This window comes from Homo sapiens, chromosome 15 (assembly GCF_000001405.40).
Source record: "Homo sapiens chromosome 15, GRCh38.p14 Primary Assembly".
In the NCBI taxonomy this organism is placed as follows: Eukaryota; Metazoa; Chordata; class Mammalia; order Primates; family Hominidae; genus Homo; species Homo sapiens.
This window is the reverse complement of record NC_000015.10, coordinates 58,456,471-58,480,397: the sequence shown is the minus strand read 5'-3', so window position 1 is coordinate 58,480,397 and position 23,927 is coordinate 58,456,471. Positions and strand designations below refer to the sequence as shown.

Below are 23,927 nucleotides of genomic sequence, written 5' to 3'. Positions count from 1 at the left end.
GCTTGAACCCAGGAAACAGAGGTTGCAGTGAGCCGAGATTGCGCCGCTGCTCTCCAGCTTGGGTGACAAAGCGAGACTCCATTTCGAAAATAAATAAATACATAAAATGAATGAATGAATGAATGAAGCTTATGGACAACACATGTCTTAGGAGTTTAGGGAGATAGATCACTTCTAGTTGGTGTGGTCTTGGGAAGGTTTCTCAGACAAAGCAGAATGTGATGTTAGCTTTGAAGAATGCGTAAGATTTCACCAGGCCAAGAGGAAGAAGATGAATGTTACTGGTGGGGAACAGACTGTTAATTTTTAAGCAACCATTAATTATGCTGATCACATGCCAGATACCATACAAGAAACTGACTTATTTGCTCAAGCAACATGTACTGTGTGCCTTCTATGGGCCAGGCCTTGTCTTAGGAGCCTGGGGAACTTAGATTGGAGGCACTTTCATAGTTTTCTGCCTCATTTTACAGAGAAGCAAACTGAGGCCCACGGAGCCTAAATGACTAGCTAGTGAGTGGTCAAGCTGGGGGGTTAATGGTGATTTTATGACTCTAATTTTTGTCCTTTCCCTCACCAACAGCTAGAGAGTGAAGGTATTGGAGAAATGTACAAGGCACATTTGGGAAACAAAATATTGGTCTATGAAAGATGAATTGGGCACCACACCTGAGGTCTCTTCTAATCGTCCAAGCCACATACCCTTGTAACAAAACAATTCTGTAAGAAAAGATGGCATTTCTGTGGTCTTAAATTTCATGCCTGATGCAAGCAGTATTTTTTTCCTACAAATTACAATCTGCATTGACATTATTAAGGAAATCACATGGACCCAGCAGAAAACGAAGAATCCAGTTGATTATTTTTATTGCTATAGAAGTCCTCTGTAGGCGGACCAGGCAGAGACCCAATTTCATTTGCCTGTAATATTGCAAACACTGCTAATTGCCTGACTTTAGTAAAGGATAGAGACAAAGGAACAATCAAAGGTATTTATTAGAAATTCTGTTTGGACAAATGCGCTTCACATTTCAATGATCTTTATCTTAGGAACACTAGAACTCTGCATTAATAAATGACAGTCACAACATTACCTTTCCTACTGTTTGTACAGTTTTCGACAGTGTCACTACAGTGCTATTGCATTGATTATTTTCAGGCTGATTATTTTTTCCTGCAGAAGTTGAGCTACCAGTAGATTGCCATTCAATTCAATTTAGTAGTTATGACAGTTGGAAGAACTACATTGCATCTTAAGGTGTGTGTCTCATGCATAAATCACACTGTTTGCTGAGCAATAATGAACAAAGCAGCAGCTAGGAGACTGAAAAGCAGTCCTCGATAGAAGACTGTCTTCTAGGTTGGAAAGTGGGAATTCATTGAACATCTGAAAGTCCAGTGGACCCTGGCTTCAACTCCGAGGCCTAGAGCCCGTCAGAATGTGGACCACACGGTTGGTGCTTAATGTGTTTTTGTTGACATGGCATCCTTTTAATGTTTGTAAAAGTTGCCTTAACTCTCTAGTCTGTGGGTATTTTCTCATTCATTCATTTATTCATGCATTGATTGCTGGTGGCTCAGTATTGTGGGAGGTGTGAAGAATCATGCATGGCCTTTGCCCACTGAACTATAGTTCTGTAAATGTTACAAAACAAGCGTGCAGTAGTTCTAGTAGCTCAAGGTGCTCTTGGGAAAGGTGGTATGAGTTCAACTCTTGGCTCTGATACTTATCAACTATATGACCTTGGGTAACTTGCATAACCTCCCTAAGTCCTAATTACCTCCTCTATGAAATGGGGATAAATCATAGTAATACCTATATTATATGGTTGTTCCAGGATTAAGTTGAGAGTGAGCTGGCTGGGCGCAGTGGCTCATGCTTATAATCCTAGCACTTTCGGGAGGCCAAGATCGGTGGATCACTTGAGGTCAGGAGCTCGAGACCAGCCTGGCCAACATGTTGAAACCCTATCTCTACTAAAAATACAAAAATTATCCAGGTATGGTGGTGTGCGCCTGTAGTCCCAGGTACTTGGGAGGCTGAGGCCAGAGAAAAGCTTGAACCCAGGAGGTGGAGGTTACAGTGAGCCGAGATTATGCCACTGCATTCCAGCCTGGGTGATGGAGCGTGACTGTCTCCCAAACAAACAAACTAACAAAAAAAGAAATGTGAGAGTGAGTTTGTGAAGTGTCTGGCTCTTAGCTCAAGAAATGTGAGCTACTATTATTTATTCTGAGAGTTCACTCATCACTTCCAGCTTGGACCAAGACAGGTTGTGGTGGAGTTATCAGAGATGGCTTTAGGATGGGCCAAGCTTGGGTACACTGAGCTATGGGGGGAGGTGGGCATTTCTGGGGTAGGAGCTGAAAGCCAGAGCCTGGGACAGGTGTGCATGGGGTGGGTATAGGGTGCACGTCCCCCTGGCTGGAGAGGAGGGAGGTGAGATGAGACTGGGAAGACAGGTACTCAGATCATAGAGGGACTTGTGGGCACCTGCGGACTGCCATGTGGCTCAAATTTTCCCCAAGACTCAGGTCAGTTCCCACAGGTCTAGGGGGAAGTGACATGGTAAAAATCCATCTATTGAGGCCTGGCTTCCCTGGAGATCAAGTATTTTATCCTATAAATGAAATTCAGTCACTTTTCAGTCAAGCAGTTTCTTAAATTAAGGCAAGCAGGAAACACAGGCATTTTCTAACTTTTACATCATCCATCTCTAAGACACTGGGGGAGCTTCCAATGGAGGACAGAATGAGTGGAGCTGAAAACCGGAGAGCTGTCTTCTACAAGGGTAAAGGGAGAAGCGCTCCAATTATTTTCTAACCCTTTCATTTTCCTCTGTGTTGTTTTGTACCCTTTAAAATGACATGACAAATATTTTCCCTCCAAATGATTAGACTTCAAAATTGCTTTGGCTCATAGAATGTCCATAAGCTCCACCCACACTTCCCCTCTCTCAGTGCTTTTCATTTCTGTCCCTAACAGCCTCATCTGTTGGGGTCAAACTGCTATGCAGGCATTCTGCAAAGCTGGGCTCCAGCCCCGGAACTGTGGTGGTCTCAGCTCGGCTTCCTCTTTCAATTCTCTCTCCAGCTACAACGTGGCTCACGTAGCTTCCCTCAGAAGTGCTTTACCCCATCCAAAGACATATCTTGGCAGACAAAATCAAGGCAGATTTTGTTTAAAAAGGTAGGAGATAGCAAAGCTGCTTTCCTCCCTGGAAGAAAGTCTACATACAGACAACCTGCTAGCTTCATCCTCTGATGCCTGTGGACTATAGTCGAAGGGAAAATATCTTTAAAAGAAAAATGTGGCCGCCTATAGGAGTTTGTAGGGGAAAGATCCCACCCGGCTTAGCAAACATGGATGAAGTGGGAAGGCAGCTTAACACCATGGTGGTGCAAGACCAGTTCTGAGACCAGGTTGTTTGATTTGAGTTAGAATGACCCTGATTGTTGTCAGAGAGCAGGACGTGCCCTGGGTACAGGGCAATCCGACAGAAACGCACAGGCAAAACTAGCTTTCCTCTGAGCTCCCTACTAAGGGCAGCAACTGAGGAACATTTTACAGCTTCTCAAGTACAGAGGCACATTCTGACCACAGCCTTGTGAGGAATGAGCTCTCTGGCTTGTTTCATAGGTGGGGAAAAAGACTCGGGCCAAATGGCTTGCCCAAGATGTCCCAGAGCTAGCACCTGGCAGAGTCAGGGCTTCTGGGGGTCCAGCTGCACACCTCACGTTTTTTCTGTGGCACCATGCCACTGTCATTTGGAACGCAGCCGGCAGGGTGAGGTCCACACTGCTGGTGGGCTGACCCCATGCCTGAGTTTTGTATGATTGTCTTAGCTCCATGTGAGTAACTAAAATGGTGTTGGCTTCAGTTTCCCCAGCTGCATGCAGGAGGGGACTGACTCCAACTCACACCTTCCCAGAAGGAAGCATAACTATGTGGCACACAGGAGAAATCAGGAGGAACCAGACTGCATGGCTTCCTGTGACTTCTGTCCCTTAGAGGATGGTGTGTTAAATGTGATATTAGACTAAATGGGACAGAAAAAGAAGCCTGCTAGTCCCATGTGTTTCCCCTGGATATTTCATCAGGCTGTGCCTGAAAAACCTGGCCTGCTTTCTTCTCAACTGGACTTTGGCACCCTGCTGTACCAGAGACTCTGAGAACCTGGGTGCCAGAGCAGATGGACTGGGGATGGAAGACCAAATCCACTACTTCCGAGCTGAAGACTTTGAGCAGATCGCTTAGCCTAGCCAAGACTCAGTATCTTTTTCTGTAAAATGGGGACAAACAGGACTGCTCTCTTCCTAAGGTTGTCATGAAGAGTGAGACAATGTATGGACTGTGCTTGGCACGCTGCCTGGTGTAAGAACCATCCCGTAAATGATCTGTCACTTTTCTTGCTAACGTGTGTTCAGTGCTTATACTGTGTCAGGCACTGTGCTACCTGCTTTCCATTAATTAACTCAGTCCTTTCTAATGACAGAATCTAGAGCTTCACGTAGTTCCTGGCACATAGGAAATGCTCAGAGTGGTGCTTATTGTTAATGGAATGTCCTGCATAGTTAAGTCTGCCCAAGTCTGGACCCTGCCCTGAGCTGCTGCTTCCATGGGGACTAATTGCCATGACTTGGCTCATGTAATCTCTCAGTGGCTCCCTTTGTTGCAAATCCATTCATTGCACAAGGCCTGGCTCAGGAAGCCACTTATTCACGGTTTAGTGGTTTGCTGGTAGAGACAGATGTGTGAGCCAATGGTTGCAATGCAGTGCTCCAGGAGTGCCTGAGCACAGGGGTAAGTGGTGGGGTGGCTGTGGGGAACCAGAGGGGACAGTCACCTTTGTTTCTGGGGGGTGGTTCAGGGAAGATCTGATGGAGAGAAGGTAATAGTTGAGTTGGGTGTTGAAAGAACGGGAGTGTGTTGGGCAGAGGCAGGGAAAAGGTATATTCAGGACACTGCAGGACACTGGAGATGGTCAAGAGGCAGATGGTGAAGGGCCTGGGTGGCCGGGCTGTCTGCCTTTTCTATGGAGGCCACAGAATCTTTTGACAGATCTTGAGCAGGGAAGAAACATGATTACCTTTGCCTCTTAGAAGGATCACCTGGATTATGGTGTGGAAGATGGAGGGGAGAGGGCAGCCAGCTTCAAGCCTGTTGTTGTGGGAGCACAGGCCAGACACTGAAGAGGGCAGTGGCAATGGAGGGGAGCCAGGGGACACATTTGAGAGACAGACAGGAGAAAAAGCCAGCTGGACTTCCTGACCACATGAGGTGGGGGAAGGAGAGAGAAGCCCACAGTAACTTCCCCTGTGGGAAATTCTGACTTGGGGAAGGCCTCTCAGGGTGAGGGCTGAGAAGGGGCCACCACAGGTGGCATTTGAGAACTCATTGGTTTCCTTAGAAAATAGGTGGAGGGATGGTAGCTGGAGATGTGTCCTCTCCTTTGGTCACTGGACAGAGGCCCAGAATCCACGAGGACCTAGCAGCAGTTGCTCTCTGGGATGGGGCAGGTCAGGAGGCTCATTGGCTAGTTGTACTTGCCTCCATGCAGGAGTAGCTTTGAGAAGCCAGGGGCAGCTGGGAGGGCCATGAGTGGAGGAGAATTGCATGCTGAGAGGAGAGCTGAGGTCTCTGAGGATGCTCACCCTGGGCAGAGAGGCCAGGGAACGACCTCGAAGGTTGTCACCCTCAGGGATCCTGCGTACCTCCACGCAGGGATGCTCACTGTGTTCCCCAAGGTCAAACTGATTTGGGCTCAACGTAGGGGAGACCTTGTTTCCTCCTCTACAAAATGCTGATAAATTACCTACATCAAAGATGGTGGAGGGTGGAATGTGAAATTCGTGAAAAGCCTCTTTTTTTTTTTTTTTTTTTCCTGAGACAGGGTCTAGCTCTGTTGCCTAGGTTTGAGTGCAGTGGTGCAATCATGGCTCACTGCAGCCTTGACCTTCTGATCCTCTTGCCTCAGCCTCCCAAGTAAGTAAGTGGGACCACAGGTGGGACCATCAAGCCCAGCTAAATTTTGTATTTTTTTGTGGAGATGGGGTCTCTTTATATTGCCCGGCTGGTCTCAAACTTCTGGGCTCAAGTGAATCACCCTGCTTGGGCCCCCAAAGTGTTGGGATTACAGGCATGAGCCACAGTGGCCCACGTAAAGCCTTTTTACTGCCCCCAGCAGAGAGGATGCACTTCCCAGGGGTGAGATGCCCCTGAAGAAACCGTCCCCTCTTCCCCCACCAAAGGGCCTAGTCCCCTGGAGATTTCAGCAAAGGAGGGTTGGTTGCTTGATGATTGATGTAGAAGGGCTTTGGACCAAGTAACTTAGATGTTACTTTCTCACAGTACGTCTTTGCTGAGTGGGCACATGTACCTGATGTGGCTGCAATGTGTTTTGGCTGAAAATGAGTCATTAATAAAAAAGGTGGGGAGTTTCCTTACCTGGTTTGCTTCAACACAAGATAAGGAATGCAAAACAGCTATAGTCTGGCAGGAAAACTGGACTGAGTGGACTAGCTTGGGGATCGTCAAGACTCTTGATCTTATTGGAGGCAGCTTGGTACATTGCAATGAGGGGGAGATTTGGGATCAGGGAACCTGGGATGGAGCCATGTCTTTCTCCCTTCCCAGCTGTGTAACCTTGGACAAGTCACTTAACCTCCAAGACTCACTTTCCTCCTTCATCAAGTGCTGTGTGAAGAATGCAGGAGAGTGATTTAAGCAAAGCCCCCTAACTGCCTGGCGTCTAGTAAGTACACAGGTAATTTTAGCCAAATCTATAGCTGAACCAGCCGATGCCAGAAAGATATTAACTGGAGCAGTTTTTTCTCCTCCTACCTCCCTGCTGCGTCTTCCTATGCTGTCCCCAGACATTTCCCCTGGAGTTGTGTCTGTGGGTTGTCATTTTGTCTGCTTGCCTTTCATCCTCCAAACGTCTTGTTAATCGCACAGGAAGTGGGTGGGTAATGGGCTTCTCTGTTGTTCCACTGGCCTCCCATTGAGTCTTACAGTTTTGCTTTCCTCACCACGAGGGCTTCTCACACCCTCTAATGACTGTTTTCCTTTCGGAAATGGCATATTTTTAGACAAAAAGCATTTCCTGGGGCTCATCACTGATTCCCTGGCAGATCTCTGACTTCTCAGCAATTTTCCCTGCTTCTCTCTGGTCACATAAAACCCACCCTGGCAGCATAAACATAGGAAATGCAGGAAACACAGGCCCCCAGCAGCCTTCACTACTCTGAGCCAATACCCAGTGCTGATCCTTGGTTGAGGCATGAGGTCCCAGCTGCTGGGACTGCAGAGGCTGTTGCTTCTGGCTGCCGTCCTCCCCCTCCCCAGCTGTCCAGGCGTCCAGCTCCCCTCTGCCAGTGCTAGAGGGTAGGGTGGTAGTGTTTTCAAAGTTAACAAAACCATGCCCCTTTCTGAGTGAAACCCAAGTTCAGATGATTCCCTTCCCCTCTTAGTAACAGCCGTAGTCAGACACACCTGGGTTTGAGTCATGGCTTAGCCCTTGGCTAGCTTGAATGCTCTAAGCCTCAGTTTCTTGGTAAAATGGGGGCAATACTAGCAAACCTCATAAGGCCGTTGTGAAGACAACATGGAATACAGTGGGTGAGTACAATGCTTAGCCCCATGCCTGGCACTTACTTGCCTTTATTTTTTCTGATCTAAATTATTACAATGATTTAATTATAATTTTAAATTTATACAATTTGTTTTATAATTCTTTAAATATAATTATATCTATTTTCCCTCTCCCACAGGCTGTGAGCCCCTTGAGGGAAGGGGCAAGATTTTTTTTTTTTTTTTTTGAGACAAGAGTCTCACTCTCTTGCCCAGGCTGGAGTGCAGTGACAGGATCTTGGCTCACTGCAACCTCCATCTCCCAGGATCAAGTGATTCGCATGCCTCAGCTTCCTGAGTAGTTGGGATTACAGGCGCATGCTACCACACTTGGCTAACTTTTGTATGTTTTGGTAGAGACAGGGTTTCACCATGTTGGTCAGGCTGGTCTTGAACACCTGGCCTCATGTGATTCACCTCCCTCGGCCTCCCAAAGTGCCGGGGTTACAGATGTAATCCTGCTAAGATTTCTTTTTTTTTTTTTTTTTTTTTTTGAGACCAAATGTCACTCTGTTGCCCAGGGTGGAGTGCAATGGTGCAATCTTTGCTCATTGCAACCTCTGCCTCCCAGGTTCAAGTGATTGTCCTGCTTCAGCCTCCCGAGTAGCTGGGATTACAGGCACGTGCCACCATGCCTGGCTAATTTTTTGTATTTTTCGTAGAGATGGGGTTTCACGATGTTGATCAGGCTGGTCTTGAACTCCTGACCTCAGGTGATCCACCCACCTTGGCCTCCCAAAGTGCTGGGATTACAGGCATGAGCCACCACACTTGGCCTGATCTAAGTACCCAGTAAATGTGTAAGGGGCTGAGAAGGGTGAGCTAATGCCTTTATGGCCCCAAAGAGCTATGTCCCCTGCCCTCAGGGAGCTTCACTGGGGAGCCCAAGGGTCATTGAGAGGGGTGGGAAAGGGCACGTGGCTGGACTGGTAGGGCAGTAAGGGCAGTTGTGATTGGGTGAGGAGGGTGGAGGAACTCCAGGTGCCTGCCCTTTCTAAGCCTCTCTACATAATAAATATTGAATAGTCATGCATTTCTATTTGGCTCAATTCATTCATTTGGTTGATTCAGAGTTTTGGAGCACTGACTCCAGAAGTTTCTTTTAGGCAAATCTCCATTCACTATTCAGCTCACCCCTAGATTACTGCAGTGTATGGCACTCAGACTGCCTCTTGCTGCTGCCATGACCATGACAGATAAGGCTAATGGATTACAGCATTCTGTCACCCTTAGCCTGATGTAATCTTAGAGTTCTTCTGCATAAAGCAGCCATTCCTGATGGAATAGAATCCTCACTTGTGTTTAAAGCTACTTATCAGCTGGGTGTGATGGCTCACACCTGTAACCCCAGCACTTTGGGAGGCCAAGGCTGGTGGATCATTTGAGGTCAAGAGTTCGAGACCAGCTTGGCCAACATGGTGAGACCACCCCCCCCCATCTCTACTAAAAATACAAAAAAAATTAGCTAGGCATGGTGGCGAGTGCCTGTAATCCCAGCTACTCGGGAGGCTGAGGTAGGAGAATCGCTTGAATCTGGGAGGTAGAGGTTGCAGTGAACCGAGATGACACCACTGTATTCCAGCCTGGGTGACAGAGTGAGACCGCATCTCAAAAAAAAAAAAAAAAAAAAGAGAAAAGAAAAAAAAAATCCTACTTACCATCTCTGGCCTAGACCTTAGGTCATTGGGTATGTCCTGAGGCCTCCATAAATTTCAAACCTTATAATTTCTCCTGCAAAAATACTACCATGCTTCAATTCTCTCCACCTTTCTTTATGGAAGCTTTTCTTACCCATTTCTAGAAAGATTAGAGAGGTGTTAGGTATTAGGAAGATGAAAAGGAGGCAGACAAAAGGACGAGTCTTCCTCTATCTACTCATACTTTCAAGGTGTTTGGCAAAATCTGAAGTTTTGACTTGGGCGGATCACGAGGTCAGGAGATCAAGACCATCCTGGCTGCTAATAGAGTGAAATCCCATGTCTACTAAAAATATAAAAATTAGCTGTGTGTGGTGGCTGGCACCTGTAGTCCCAGCTACTGGGGAGGCTGAGGCAGCAGAATGGTGTGCACCCGGGAGGCGGAGGTTGCGGTGAGCCGAGATCTCGCCACAGAACTCCAGCCTGGGTGACAGAGCGAGATTTCGTCTCTACCAAAAAAAAAAAAAAAAGGAGTTAAATGCAATTCTTTCTGTATTTTTGTCTTTTCCAATTCTGTATTAAGCATGTACTACTTTTCAAAGTAGGAAAAATGTGTTTTATAAAATGAGTAATTTTATGAAAAAGTAATTTTAAGTTACATTTAACAATTGAGTAATTTTATTAAAATTTTTATTTAAAATTTTATAAAAATGCTTTTTACTTCAAAAACTTCATAAAAATTTCTTAGACTTATTACTATATACCCTTTCATACCTTTGTGACTATAATACCTAATAAAAAATAAAAGCTGGTCTTTGGTTTTGTACATAGGAAACACCCTCTTCTCTGAACAAATCTCTCATTTACAGTCTTTTAAAATTCAAAGAATGCATTCCAGCTGGGTGCGGTGACTCATGCCTGTAATCTCAGCACTTTGGGAGGCTGAACCCGAAGCACTGTTTGAGGCCATGAATTTGAGACCAGCTTGGGCAATGTGGTGAAACCTTATCTCTAAAAAATTACAAAAATTATCCGGGTGTGGTGGTATGTACCCGTAGTCCCAGCTACTCAGGAGTCTGAGGTGGGAAGATCCCTTGAGCCTGGGAGGTCAAGACTGCAGTGAGGCATGATTGCACCACTGCACTCCAGTTTGGGTGATAAAGGGAGACCTTGTCTCAAAAAAAAAAAAAAAAATTCCATGAAGATGAGGAAGGTGATGGAATGTCATCCAGCATTGAGAAAAATGTGACGTGCCCATCAGCTCCTCTATTCTCTTGGGGGAAGTGCTGCCGCGGGGAGGTCCTAGCCATTGTTCCATTCCTTTCTTGCATCTTCTCAACGAGCTTTGTTAGTAACTGGAATCCACTGGGCCACGTTTTTAGTAGAGGGTAGGGTCACTTCACTCAAGGAGTTTTGCAACGGCCACAGTGTTTCTCTGCTCTGGGCTGTAAAGCCTGGTGGCCAGTCCTCCCGAGGGCAGGCCTGAAGGTCCCAGTTCTCTTACCTGTCTATCTGCCTGGTGACTGGGTGAATGGGCAGCCCCAAGCTTCTCAGCTTCCCTGCCTGAGCCAGGTTGGAAAATGAGGGTGGCCTGTTTTTGGGAAGCTGGTGATCTTTAATTGAAAGGGGGTGGAGCAGAAAGCATCACTATGGCTTTGAGCCCAAGCCAAATCCCCTCTCCCACACTGAGGAAGAGGAGAAAAGCTGATTTTCTTCCTTTGTGCTCTTCCTTTGGTAATCAGTACTCTAAATGGTTGAGACCCAAGTGGGCCAAGAGCTGAGCTGAGAGTTCTGAGTACTCCAACATGCTCAAAAAACTATATTCCTTAGGGTGGGTATGGTGGTTCATGCCTGTGATCCCAGTGCTTTGGGAGGCTGAGGCAGGAGGATTACTTGGGCCAGGAGTTCAATGTTAGAGTAAACTACGATCATGCCACTGCACTCCAGCCTGGGCAACAGAGTGAGATCCAGTCTCTTAAGGCGTACACACACACACACACACACACACACACACACACACACACAAAATGTTCCCTGAAGCCGTTTAAGTTATTAGAAAAAAATAGAACTATGGTGAACTAATGTTTAATGCTTACCATACCTCATCATGACGTTTTCAGATCAAGTGGGATAGCTCTGGGCAGTGGAGCTTAGGTACATTAAGCAAATACTTCATAAACGTTAGTAGCTGTGCAAACAAGTGGGCATGAGGTGGAGGCTTGACCAGCCAGAGTGTCCAAGGTTCATAGGGAGGAAAGGAGCCAATTTACTGGACCTGGGTTGTTAAACACATAAACCCTTAATGAATTAAAAATATTACCAGCCTAGCAGAGTTCCATGGAGTCTGGGTGGCAGCTCTGTAGTTCTGTGGTTGTCAGTCCAGGCTGTCTTTAGATCTGAACTGGTCTGGGGTGGGCCTTTCTGTTATAAGTTCCCTAGATGATTCTAATGAGCTTCCAAGGGTAAGAACCTCTGCCACAGTTAAATGGTGTCACTATGTATTAATCACAAATCCCCTGATAACGTCACAGGGTTGGACAGCTTAACTCATGTTAGGAATCACATTGAGATTTGTGGACCATCCATCTCGAGTGGGCGGCAGGGCTAGATCCAAAGGCAAATTAGTATTCCATGGAGCTTTGGTTCTCAAACGGGTGTGCATCAGAATCTTCTGGAGATCTTGCTAAAACCCAGATTGTGGGCCCTCATTCTCAGAGTTTCTGATTCATTAGGTCTGGGGTGAGACCCTAACATGTCTAACAAGTTCCCAGGTGATGCTGATGCTGCTGGTTTGGGGACAACACTTTGGGAATCACTGTCATGGACATAGGTGTTCACTCTGAGAGGCGCTGCTGGGGAAGCAGAGAGAGCAAGGGTCTGGGAGGTGGCCGTGACCTGGGTTCAGGTCCATGATTCATGCAGGTGCAGTATAGACAAGGGTAAGCCAAGTGATCTCTTTTGAACCCAGTATTCTTATCTATAATCTGGGGTAATATTAGCTGCTTTGCCTTTCCCCAAGCATTGAGTGGGATAATGAGTAATCACTGGGCTTTTATCATGTACCGAGCATTTTACATGCATCATTCCCATTAATCTTCTCAACATTTATAGGAAGTGGGTCCTATTATTTTACAGACCCAGAAACTGAAGTTTAGGAAGCCTCAGTTCTTTGTTAAGAGCGGTCCTTGTGTTAGAAGCAGTTCCAGCTGACCCCGGAGTCCAAGCTCTCAACCGCTGTGCAGTCCCTGACCCTCAGTGGGAAAACCCTGTGAACACCAAGAGTTGCCAAACAACTTTTAGCTGTGGTTTTTCTAAGCGGCGGACAGGATTTGATGTAAGGGATACCTGGTAGGCAAACCACTGCGCAACAGTGAGCAAATACCAATTCAGATATGAGCAGAGTGGGAAGTTTCCAAAATAAAACATAGAACATCAAGGACTCATTTACTGCATTTGAGAATGGGCCACTCTGATAAGATAGAGGCATTAATTAGGAGGAAAAAGTAGCCGAGCAAATGTCGGCAGGAAGGCCAGGAGGGTCTTTAACAGCCTGACGTAAGCCCAGGAAAGCTGCTTCCCAGAAGGCCTAGTACCGGATCATAAACTCTGCAGCTGACTCATTAAACCCGGTAAAAGTGGCTGCAAAGCTCTCTGGGAAAGGACGGGTTTGAAGAAAGGATAACATTGCTTCTATGAGGGGACCAGAATAAGCAACGGAGCGGAAACCAATACGTGCAAATCAGGCACTGTGAGCTCAAGAGCGGTTCTGAGGAGCTCACAGACACAAGGAGCCCGCAAGCAAAGGTTCTGCTCCACAAGCAGGAAGCCCCTGAGAGACATGCACGTTTTGGCCGCTGTGAACAAGAGCCTACGGTCAGGGATGAGTGGGTCAGGTGATCACGGAAGTCCATTTCAGCTTTTAGTTCTAACCACCCTCTGTGAGTTGGATTCATGCTTCATTGGTCTACTGGATTTATTTCCCAGGGTCAGTAAACATTTGGATGGGAATGCAATGAATGAAAAACAAAAGAAACTATCAGAATCTGATGAAACGTCATGCCAAAGTTTATTAGGAATAAAAAGTTATAACTATTATATATAAGTAGGAATGCTGTATAATCTATAAAAAAATGAGGTTGTCATGAGGATTCAGACAAGACAATGGGTGTCTGAAAAGTGTCTTGAAAACTGGAATTATTCAATTAGAATAAAGTTATATATAACAGTTGGGATAATTTTCTGGATGAAGATATGTGAAAATCAACTTTACGAAGTGATTACAGTAAGTACTGTGTGAGCATTTCATATGACCTGCAAAGAGAAGAAGGAAACCATGTGCTTTGCAGGAGGTAAAATGCTCAGCTGACTGAGATGCTGGAAGGTCTTATGGGGTCATATGAATGGGCAGGAAAATAGAAGATGACCTTTGATGCAGACAAAGCCATTATGTGTTTAGGGAAAAGTAGCCCAAACAACATAGAAAGTGGTTGCCTCTGACCCAGAGTGTATAAACCAGAGAAGAATTTTGGTCTTCGCAGCTTGTTTCTTACCTGTGATGCTAGTTTGGTCAAGATGGCTAACCAAGTGTTTAAAATTACCATACATCCTTAGAATAAAGAAGCCATAGAGATCATGTGATCTATTGATGGATTTAATTTTATAAGATGAGAAAACTCAGGCCCAGAGAGCTAAGTGGCTTGTTCAAGGTTCTATAACTACTTAGAAAATGTTTTGTATACCAGATGGAAAACATCAGTCTACCTTTCACGAAACTAAGACACCTGACAAAGGCTGCCTTAAAGAGTGTGGGGGAATTTCCAGAACCTTTTTACTTCTAATCACTCTCTATGAGTCACCCGCTAGGAGTTCTAATCACACCACCATTAGGTGGAAAGTTGACCAAATGGTCCCTCAGCACGTCCCATCGCATTGCTGTAAAAGTCAAATCATTGAGATGGATAGATATCTCACGACTAGTAACATTTTCTACATAATCTTACATAAATGATTCCTAATAAATTACACAGACAGGACTTCACAGTGAAATCACAAGTGAGTTTAGTACAGGCATAATGATGACAGCCCAAACATCTGTTGGTTTTGGAAGTAAGTTTTCCTATTTTAGAACTAGCACTGAATCATCAGGAGATGGGGCTTGATAGAACTTCAGAGGAATTTTAGATCTCTACCAAAAGATCTAATTCCTCTGCCCTGTATTAATTAGAAACGGTAGACATCGAGGGCTATGATTGTCTCCCTAGTTTCCCACGTACCTATTCCTTCCTTGACAACACACCAGAGAGAGTAGAGAAGACAGAAGATTAGAGAGCTTTGATGCTTTTAGTGTGGGACCGGTGATGACTGCCCTCTTGGACTCTATCTTCCCAGGACGGGTCCAAGCTTCCTGGTCCCCTTGCCTTGTCTGAGCCTTCCTGCCCCAGCTGACTTCCTAGGCCTGTGAATGCCTAACCCAAGTACTTACCTGCTTCCTCCAACTTCCTGGATTCACTTGGGACTCCATCCGTTATGTTACGGTTCTGACCCGTAATCTACACCTCACCTCTGCCCTTGGTTGAGCATTTGGTCTTTGTCTCTTCCTCCCAGCCCAGCCCTACATGTCAGTCATGTCCTACAATCTATAATTGATCACTGTAATGTCCCATTTAAATTTTTTTCTGTTGTTCATGTGGAATTTAATGGAACTCTTTTCTAAAAATGTGAATTTGAAAAACCTTCAGTCTACACTAAGACTATTGAAGAGCACAGTCTGTGTTAAAAGCCAGATGTAAAAACTGTTGGCTTTCATAAGAGGTACCAATTATAAGTAAATATCCATCAATCAATAAACACATCCTGCTCCAAGGTGCAAAGATTAGGGGAGCAGTCAAGTGGGGGAAATGAGTTGTTCTGATTGGAAGAAGGGGGGTGACATGGACAGATGTAGGGTGCACTTGACACAGAATCTTCTTTTTCCCCTGGTTCCTGAGGGGATAAGACATAGGAACCCAAAACATCAGAAAAGTAAGGTAGCAGTGATAGGGCTTTTCTTTCCTCCAGTGCAAACCAGCCATAGTATTATTCTTTTATTCGGACTTTAGATGAGAAGCCCTATATGTTTTGTTGTGTGGTGGGCTCCCCCCTCGCTCCCCATTTTTGAGACAGAGTCTCACTCTGTTGCCCAGGCTGGAGTACAGTGGCACAGTCTTGGCTCACTGCAACCTCCACCTCCCAGGTTCAAGCGATTTTTCTGCCTCAGTCTCCTGAGTAGCTGGGACTACAGGTGCACACCACCACACCCAGCTAACTTTTGTATTTTTAGTACAGACCGAGTTTCACCATGTTGCCCAAGCTAGTTTTGAACCCCTGACCTCAGATGATCTGCCCGCCTTGGCTTCCCAAAGTGCTGGGATTACAGGTGTGAGCCACCATGCCTGGCCACCCTGTGTGTTTTGATGTGTGGTCAAGCCACTGAAATTTCTAGAAAAACAAGGAGCCCGGGAAGGACTCATCCCAAGAAGTTGAAGGTGAGTTAGAAAATTGGCTACTACCCAAGTTAGACAGAATTCAAGGACTGGCATAAGCTGTGATGAATAGCAACTAAAGAATGGAGCTCTGATGCTTAATGTTTATATGTCTTTAAACCTTGCTTTAAATAAAATGCTTTATTTGTACTAGTTAAGTATTTGCTATGATGTGTTGCTTTAATGAAAAGCTCTGTTGAACTCTGTTGTGTGGGAAAGCAGGTTGGGCTTTGATTGGATTAACCATGCAGATAGGGAGTTAGGCTCTTTGGAGCCGAGTTGGTTCACACAGGCGGCACTACCCACCTACAGGTGTCCATCGCACCTGCGTTATGAGTACTGCTCCTAGGAAACCAGGCTCTGAGAGTACCAGCCTAGGAAACTTGAGCCAATAAAGTCACCACAAAGACCACAGCACTTAAAGATAGAAAGGGGCAAGTATAGAGGGGGTTGGGAGGGTGACAGGTGCATGCTCCTTTTATCATGATTTTAAAAAATAATACAGTGCTTTTGACAATTTTTTTTTCAAAAAAAATGAAAGCTTTGGATTTTTCAGGTGGGGTTATTTGCCTTTCATCTGTGTTTTCTCTACTGTTCTATTTACTGATCCATTACTTTCATCTTTGAAACCTGTCATTGTGGACTCTTGTATCAATGTAACTATCTGTTAAAAGGCTTTTTGCTTTTCGGGTCAGAAGTGTTTAATATCAGACATTTTAAATGATTTTATTTGTATTGACCTCAAACTTGAAAGTTATGCAAGAGGTACTGTAAAATTAAGTATTCAAAGAGATGAATGCCTTTATTGGACTTTTTTGATGAGCAGAGAGGTTGAGGGGTCCTAAGGGAGTGATGGAAAAGTGGAAAACTGACCAGGACCCAATGCCTAGGTCGCCGAGAAACAGGGCAAGAAAGAGGTCAAGGAGATGGGAGTGGAGCGGGTGAATACCTGCGCAATCTCAGGACACAGAAAAGACCTGATGGATTCTTTCCTTTCTTTCCTGGTTAGAGGAGGGGCATGGGTGACCCAGTCTGGCTGCAGGAGCTCAGGTAGGATAGACGAGTTTGGGGCAAAATGGTGGGTGCTGTAGCTTAAAGGGGAGCAGTGGGCGGGAAGTTGAGTCAGCCTGGGCTGGTGCATTGTGGATATAGCACAGCTTGAGAGGGTGGAGAGGAGTGGGAGAGTAAAAGAGCAGAGCAGTTTCTGAAAGCTTGGTGTGGTCTGGGTCACAGACTCCTGCAGATGTTCTGAGGGATCAAGCCCTTTTCCCGAGGCCCCAGAGCTCACTGAAGCTAGAACCTAGACTGCAGGCCCTACCAACATTCTTTGCTCTACGCAAGTGGCCATCAGGACCCTGGAGTGAATGACACATAAGTTCCCCTCCCACCTCCATGTCCATGGAAGATGAGAACAGAGCAGTCAGGCCGGAAGGCAAACACCATCCCAACGTGCAGGTGTGCGGTAGAAGCACAATATCACCTTTCACTGGGGAGCTGGCCCTTGGCTGCCACTCTAACAGCCACACACCCCCAGTGCTGCTCCAGGGGCAGTCCACGCTGGGAGAGAAGAGATTGGAATCGACTTCTTGGAGTCTTTTACAAGGACTTCAAAAGGAGGGATGAGTCTGCAGTGTTCTGGGGGCCACTTAGCAATAAAGGAATAATCCACAGCCTGTGCAGTGCTAATGAGCACCAAGAATAACTCCGCCAATAACTCTGCAGGCAGGGCCCAGCGGACCAGCAGAGCTCAGCTGGTCTTGGAAAGGGTTCTTCAGGCCTGCCCCCTCTGCCGAGAGGCCAGAGCTCAGCCAGTGGGTTCCTTATAGGATTGCCTGGGAGGAGAGGATTGCCTGGAGTGGCCTCTGAGTCAGGGCTGTGCTCCTCCCACACAGGAGGAGGAAGTCAAGGGCTGTGTGCAGGTGAGCAAACCGAGCTGACAGGAGCCTGACTTCTAAGGTGCTGGCTTTGGTTCCTCTCATGCTGAGGATTAATTTATCTAAGTGGAAACAGAGCAGGAGAGGGGACATTTATTTCTTTGGCTTTGGTCTGGGGTCCAGTAAGGGAAGGAGAGAGAAAGAAAGAATGTATGTGTGAGTATCTAAACCAATTGGATGGATTAAGGGCAGGGCAGAAAGTGGACCAGTGGTACCAACTCTTCAAAAAGGTGCTGAAAGCCTTTATCATAAACACTAAATGTAATACTGTTTAGGGGGACAGAATAGGGTTGGTGCCAGAAGGACCCCTTTCCTGGATCCCGATGTTCATTTATTCTTGTGTTCATTCATTTGATCCAATCAATCAATCATGTCAATTCAGTCATCAACATTTCTCCAGCATCCACTATATGCCATGTGCTGCAAACAGACTGTACTAAGGCCCAGCCTCTCTCTGCCTTCAAAGCACTCACGATCCTATAGGGAAGGTGGAAATATGAACAAGCAGTCAACAATAGACATAATGAACACAGTGCAATGCATGCAAGAAACAGGAAAATAGATGACAGAAGCAAAGAGGAAGGTGGGCCTCACTTGGACACAGAGGGGTACAGACATTTGGCATGTAACTTGGATGATCCAGTGCAGGCTGTGTGATGGGTGGGACTGAGGATGAGGGAGAAAACACATTCCAGGACTTCCATGAGCAGGTTTGAACTGTGGGGGTGGAGTGGGATGTGGGGGCGGGGGGACAGCACGAGGCAGGTGTGGAGGGGTGGACAGAGTAAGGTGTGAAAGTTTAAAGGAGCTGGAATTTGAAGGGAATCGGAACCGGGGGGAGACAAGGGCATCCAAGGCCAATGGGTGTGAAAGGCAGAGGTCTGGAGGGGAGTGTTGTTCCTTTCTTCGGCACATAGATAGGAGGCAGAGTTGCACGGGGATTAAGAACATAGGTGGCGGGGCCCAGTGGCTCACCCCTGTAATCCCAGCATTCTGGGAGGCCAAGGCAGGCAGATCACTTGAGGTCAGGAGTTCGAGACCAGCCTGGCCAATGTGGTGAAACTCCATATCTACTAAAAAAAAAAAAAAATCAAAAATTAGCCTGGCATGGTGGTGCACACCAGTAATCCCAGCTAATCGGGAGGCTGAGGCAGGAGAATCGCTTGAACCAGGGAGCCAAGCAATTGTTGCAGTGAGCCAAGATCGAGCCACTGCACTCCAGCCTTGGTGACAGAGTGAGACTTTGTCTCAAAAACAAAGAAACCATAGGCTCTGTACTGAGACTGTGTTCAAATCCTGGCTCTGGGAGTTGCCAGCTTTGTGACTTTGGGCAAGTTTCTCTGCCTCTATAAACTTCAGTTTCCTTATCTATAAAGTGGGAGCAATGATAATTCCTGCAGCTGGCTGCTGTGAGGATTGGTAGTTGAGCACTTGGTGGGATAACTGGTATAGCCTTCAGTAAATGTTAGCTTTTTTTATTGTTACTATTGCAGCCAATCTTTAAATGCTGTTAGTTTTTCCTTTGAAGTGTTTCCTGGGTCTTGTTATGACGTCTCCCTCCCAGCAGTGACCACTTCAAGCTCTGCACTTGAGAACTGCCGTCCTCACCTCACTTCTGGGTTTCTGCACATCTTCAAATTGGCCTTGGTGGCTTTCTTCCTTCCTCTGTAACCATCCTGTGGACCAACCCCAAACAAACCCCTCTTACATGCCATGTTCGGGTCAGTCCCTTGGTCAAAACCACTGGTACTTTCTCTCAGAGAAGCACCAATCTGGCCCATTGTCCTCTTGCAGATGAGAAAACTGAGAGCTAAAGAGGCCATGGGACTACGCCACCTGCCAAGGAAGTCTGTTCCTGAGCTCTGGGTCTCCTGACTTCCCATTCTCGCTGGCTGTTCTCTAACAGCTGCCCTCTTTTCCCAGCTCCAGAGCTTCTCTAAACTCTCCCTGGAAAACATCATGGCGAGTAGGAAATGGACCTGTGTGAGCTCTGCAGTGGGCCATTGAGTTTGCAGCCCAGCCTGGCCCTTACTGGCTGAGTGACCTTGAACAAGTGATGTCACCCATCAGAGCCTGGGTTTCCCAGCCGTGGAGAGCAGCGTTATTCTAAGAGCTCCCTTACAGGGTGAGAGTGAGGGTGGAAGACGTGATTATTACCTAAGTGGAGGGCTTGGTAGAGTGTCTGGCACGCAGTACGAGGCTGAGATGTTGAAGGCTACTCTCTGGTTGGGAGGCCATCCTGGCCCAGGGCCCACCTTAACTGTGCCCACCCTGCCTCCCATCCAGCCTTCACCTTTCCTTTTGCACATCCACATCCCAAGTCGGCCCCAGCCTTTCCTCTCACCATGAGCTGTTCTCCACTTCCTGAATTCCTCAAAGTCCTACCTCACTGCTTCTCCTGCAGAGTTAGAACTCCAGGAAAAAGCCAAAACTTTATTTCAGAACTCTGTTATAAACATCCTTAAAGACAGATGCCAGGTGGTGGGTGGGGCCGAGGCCCTGAGAGTGGAAGGGTTTTGGGGATGTTCATCGGCTTGAACAATGCTCATTGGGAGCTGAAAAGACTTTCAGAGCAGAGCCCTACAGGGTGCTCAGACGTAACCACCGTGGGCTTGGAAGCTGCAGTACGGGACCCATACAGCCTTCCCTTTGGGCCTCCAGGGTGAGCCTTGAGAGTTGTTTTCCCTTCTTAGGAAAAAGGGAGAGGTAGGTTCTTGCTAGGTGTGAGCCTGCTGCACCCACCAACTGGCTACCGTTCTGATCTCATAGCAACGCAGTGGCCCCACTCAGGGCCTCCCAGGGCCCCGCCTGTGAAGGAGGAAGCTGAGAGGAGTGCCCAGGGCTGAATCCCTCAGATACCTCTGTCCTTCCCCCAAGGGGTAAGGGAGCGGGCATCTGTTCCCGTGCAGGCGTCCTTGGGGACGGGTGTGGATTCCTTCCTGTGACAGCTGCAGAAGCCACCAGAACACGGTGCAGAGCACGAGGCTGATTTTCAATCCCAGTGTGGGCCACACCCTATGTGGGGGGAGTGTTTGCTTTTCCATAAATGTAAAAATTGCTTAATATGACTCCAGAGAAGACTAAACACCTGTTTGCTGGTGGACTCTCTCTCGTTTATTTTTTCTGTTTTCAGGAGCGGGTGGGACTTCCTCCAGAAACTGCTGGTTTCCTGAAAATCTGGACCATGCCTGAGACTTTTTTATGAACTTTTAGCTTTGTTTTGATTTATTTATTTATTGTGAGCTCTCTAAGGGACATCAAAAAAAAAAAAGAAAGAAAAAAGTCGATTCTCCAAAAGATTTTCACTCAAGCTTAGCAAAGGACAGAACTACAATGTCACCAGCAAATGTTTGCCCCTCACTGAGCATTCTCCAAAGTGAGGTCTCTAAAAAGACACTGTCTATGTCACTTCCTGCTTGCTGGGAAAAGCCAAAGTTTCACTAGGCTTTGACCCAGAGGTCGTCTTGCAGTGAGGGAGGCCATCTCCTCCTGATGTCCACTGGGCCTTTGGTTTTCAATGACTGAAAGCTGTTTTTGTCCCAGCAGAACTACAAAATACATACCTCACCTAAAAAAATAGGAGGCATGACTACCATCTCTCCCTCTTGGAATGTATTGCACCTATAGCCAAGGGGAGATGTATAGCCTTCTCAATGTTCTATGACCTAGCACCTTTTTCTCTTAAATATTCACTAGAAAACTAATAAAGCCATGGACATACTCTGATGTTATCGATGGCAGATTTTGGGGTTGACCTAATGTACTTTTTCCCCACTTAACGCACAACTTAATCATCTCCTGAGGAACAAAGAGATGGTGGCAAAAAACCCTCTGTAAAACCTTTTTCCTGTTCCACTGGGAAACCAGGATCAAGGACAAGGGACAGGAATGGTGCAGGGACAGGAGCTAGTTGTATAAGATGTGTAATTTTGAGGGGCAGAGGGGTGACCAGATTCTGCTGGCAAGGGCTGAGAAACAGGGAGTTCTTTGGTTTCTGATGGGGAAAGAAACCATAGAGTGTTATTTAGCCCTGTTGGAAAGCTGGTCTCTGAAAACTGAAAGCACCCAAGATAACGGGGATAAAGATGGGAAAAGGTTAGAGGTGGGAAGGGTTAGAGGTTGCAAAGCCTCAAGTAAGACTTATTCTTTGGGTGGTGTCATTCTAAATGTTTTGACTTGGAGGAAAGAGCTGGGAATGAGGACAATGTCCCTGCTATTATAACAGCAGCATATGCACCAACATAAAGAAAAATCCTGTTTAAGAAAAACCTGCCTGGGCTGTGCTTTAATTGCAAGAGGTAGAAGGACGTGGTGGGGGAGGCTCAGCTGCTGGTCTAACAATAGCATAAGCCGACCTTGCTCAGGGGAAGTCCATTGCTAAACTTCAAAGTTCAGTCTGTGAACTTCACATTTAGGAAGCACTTCCTGATGACCTCATTTAAAATTTTATTCTTCCAAGGGACACAGTACAGAATATATGGACTTACATTTTTTTTTTTTCTCCAGCAATTTCCCTGCTTCTGTAGGAGTAAAAAAACGGAAACAGGTGCTTATGTATTTATTTTTAAAGCTCCCTAGCTACTAAGGACAGCAAGGACTTTTGCCATTTAATTTTTGTTATTGTCTAGCTCATGAAAATGTATTTCTTAATCCTCCAGCTACACATATTCCTGATGAGAAAAAGTATAAACTGGTATGTCCTATGCACTCTAGGAGCCCTTGATTTAAGACTAACCACACGGCATGTACACAGACAGCCATGTAGAAAATGCCTGCAGAGCCAGCATCAGGGGCAGGATGGAGACATGGGCCCGGGATAGAGTGGAAAAGGAATTGTGTGAATCACGGAGGTGGACAAGTGTTTATGTACAAGATGGAAATCCTTACCATATATCCAGTTCAGTCAGGTTTATGTGAAGGAAATGACCAAGCCAGTGCTACTTGCTCTTTCGATTACCAAATGGGATTGCTTGGCTGGTTTAGGGAGAATAAACACAATAATAGTGAAAGTAGTTGACCACAAAATGATGCGGCCTGAGTCATAGAAAGCTTTATGGAGAAGATAGCATCTGAAGGTCCCATTCAGCAATGGGTGGGGCAGAAGTGGTCTTACATGCTGAGGGGATGTGGGGCACAGAGAAACAAGGACTGCTGCTGCAGCTCTGCCCTGAAGGAGCCAAGTGGCATATCGTAAACGGGGTGCCTTGTAGGCCTTCTTGCTGTCCACAGGTAAATTTGAGGAGTGCTTAGAATACGTCATGTCTGCCGGGCGCGGTGGCTCACGCCTGTAATCCCAGCACTTTGGGAGGCTGAAGCGGGCAGATCACCTGAGGTCGGGAGTTTGAGACCAGCATGACCAAAGTGGAGAAACCCTGTCTCTGCTAAAAATACAAAAATTAGCCAGGCGTGGTGGTGCCTGCCTGTAATCCCAGCTACTCAGGAGGCTGAGACAGGAGAAATGCTTGAACCCGGGAGGTGGAGGTTGTGGTGAGCCAAGATCGCACCTTTGCACTCCATTCTGGGCAACAAGAGTGAAACTCCGTCTCAAAAAATAATAAAAAAATCATGTTTTCGAAGCCAAGGGCTGCTCAGCCCACATCGCCCAGTGCTGTTTTGGCCTTGTCTGATGATACCTGCATGCTGACAAAGGAGGTGCCCGGCCCTGGGCATCATCTCTGCTGGAGCCTAGTTCTCACTTAGCTCTGTTTCCCTGGGTATGCCACTTGACCTCCATAGTTTCTATTTTCTTATTAGTAAAATAAACGAGTTGAGCGAGATGTTCTCTAGAATAACTTCTGTTTTTCCCATTCTACGCATGGTAAAGTATACTTAAACATATGTACATATTTCTTTAGTTGGGAAAACAGCAGTGGTGAAGCCCTAAAAAGACAGAGGACCTCTCGTTTTCCCCAATTTGTTGCCTTTATGAATGTGATGGGTTGCGGGGGACATTTGCAAAGAGAGACCAGACATCTACCTGAGGCTATGAGGTAGCGGGCAGATCCCCAGTGTGGACAGGGCTACTTAGGCCCATGGGGGCAGGAGGCCTTAGCATTGGCTACCCATGTGCTCCTGCAGTCCTCCTAGGAGGGAGTGACACCCCTAGTCTCTATTCACCCCCCAGCACCTCCCTCCAGGGGCCTCTGGGCTGCATCAGGGGAGATGTGCCCTGTCCTTAGCTATGGCTTCAGGTTTGGCTCAG

The 23,927-nt window shown here is 46.5% G+C and overlaps 1 protein-coding gene and 1 long non-coding RNA gene across 2 annotated transcripts in view, besides 4 other annotated features; one reads left to right on the top strand and one right to left on the bottom strand.

The window, feature by feature from the left end:
* Window positions 1–23,927, bottom strand: part of LIPC (lipase C, hepatic type) — a 137,854-nt gene that overhangs the window by 89,447 nt on the left and 24,480 nt on the right. The window lies entirely within an intron of this gene.
* LIPC-AS1 (LIPC antisense RNA 1) overlaps window positions 1–23,927 on the top strand; it is a 63,835-nt gene that overhangs the window by 18,338 nt on the left and 21,570 nt on the right. The gene's annotated exons all lie outside the window — the stretch shown is intronic.
* Window positions 16,165–16,254: a silencer, noted in NCBI's record as "silent region_6480". NCBI's record gives its function as "represses an Ori minimal core promoter by ATAC-STARR-seq in GM12878 lymphoblastoid cells {active_cell/tissue: GM12878}" and the evidence as "EXISTENCE:reporter gene assay evidence [ECO:0000049][PMID:35858748]".
* Window positions 20,316–20,375: an enhancer, noted in NCBI's record as "active region_9472". NCBI's record gives its function as "activates an Ori minimal core promoter by ATAC-STARR-seq in GM12878 lymphoblastoid cells {active_cell/tissue: GM12878}" and the evidence as "EXISTENCE:reporter gene assay evidence [ECO:0000049][PMID:35858748]".
* Window positions 20,406–20,545: an enhancer, noted in NCBI's record as "active region_9471". NCBI's record gives its function as "activates an Ori minimal core promoter by ATAC-STARR-seq in GM12878 lymphoblastoid cells {active_cell/tissue: GM12878}" and the evidence as "EXISTENCE:reporter gene assay evidence [ECO:0000049][PMID:35858748]".
* Window positions 22,081–22,140: a silencer, noted in NCBI's record as "silent region_6479". NCBI's record gives its function as "represses an Ori minimal core promoter by ATAC-STARR-seq in GM12878 lymphoblastoid cells {active_cell/tissue: GM12878}" and the evidence as "EXISTENCE:reporter gene assay evidence [ECO:0000049][PMID:35858748]".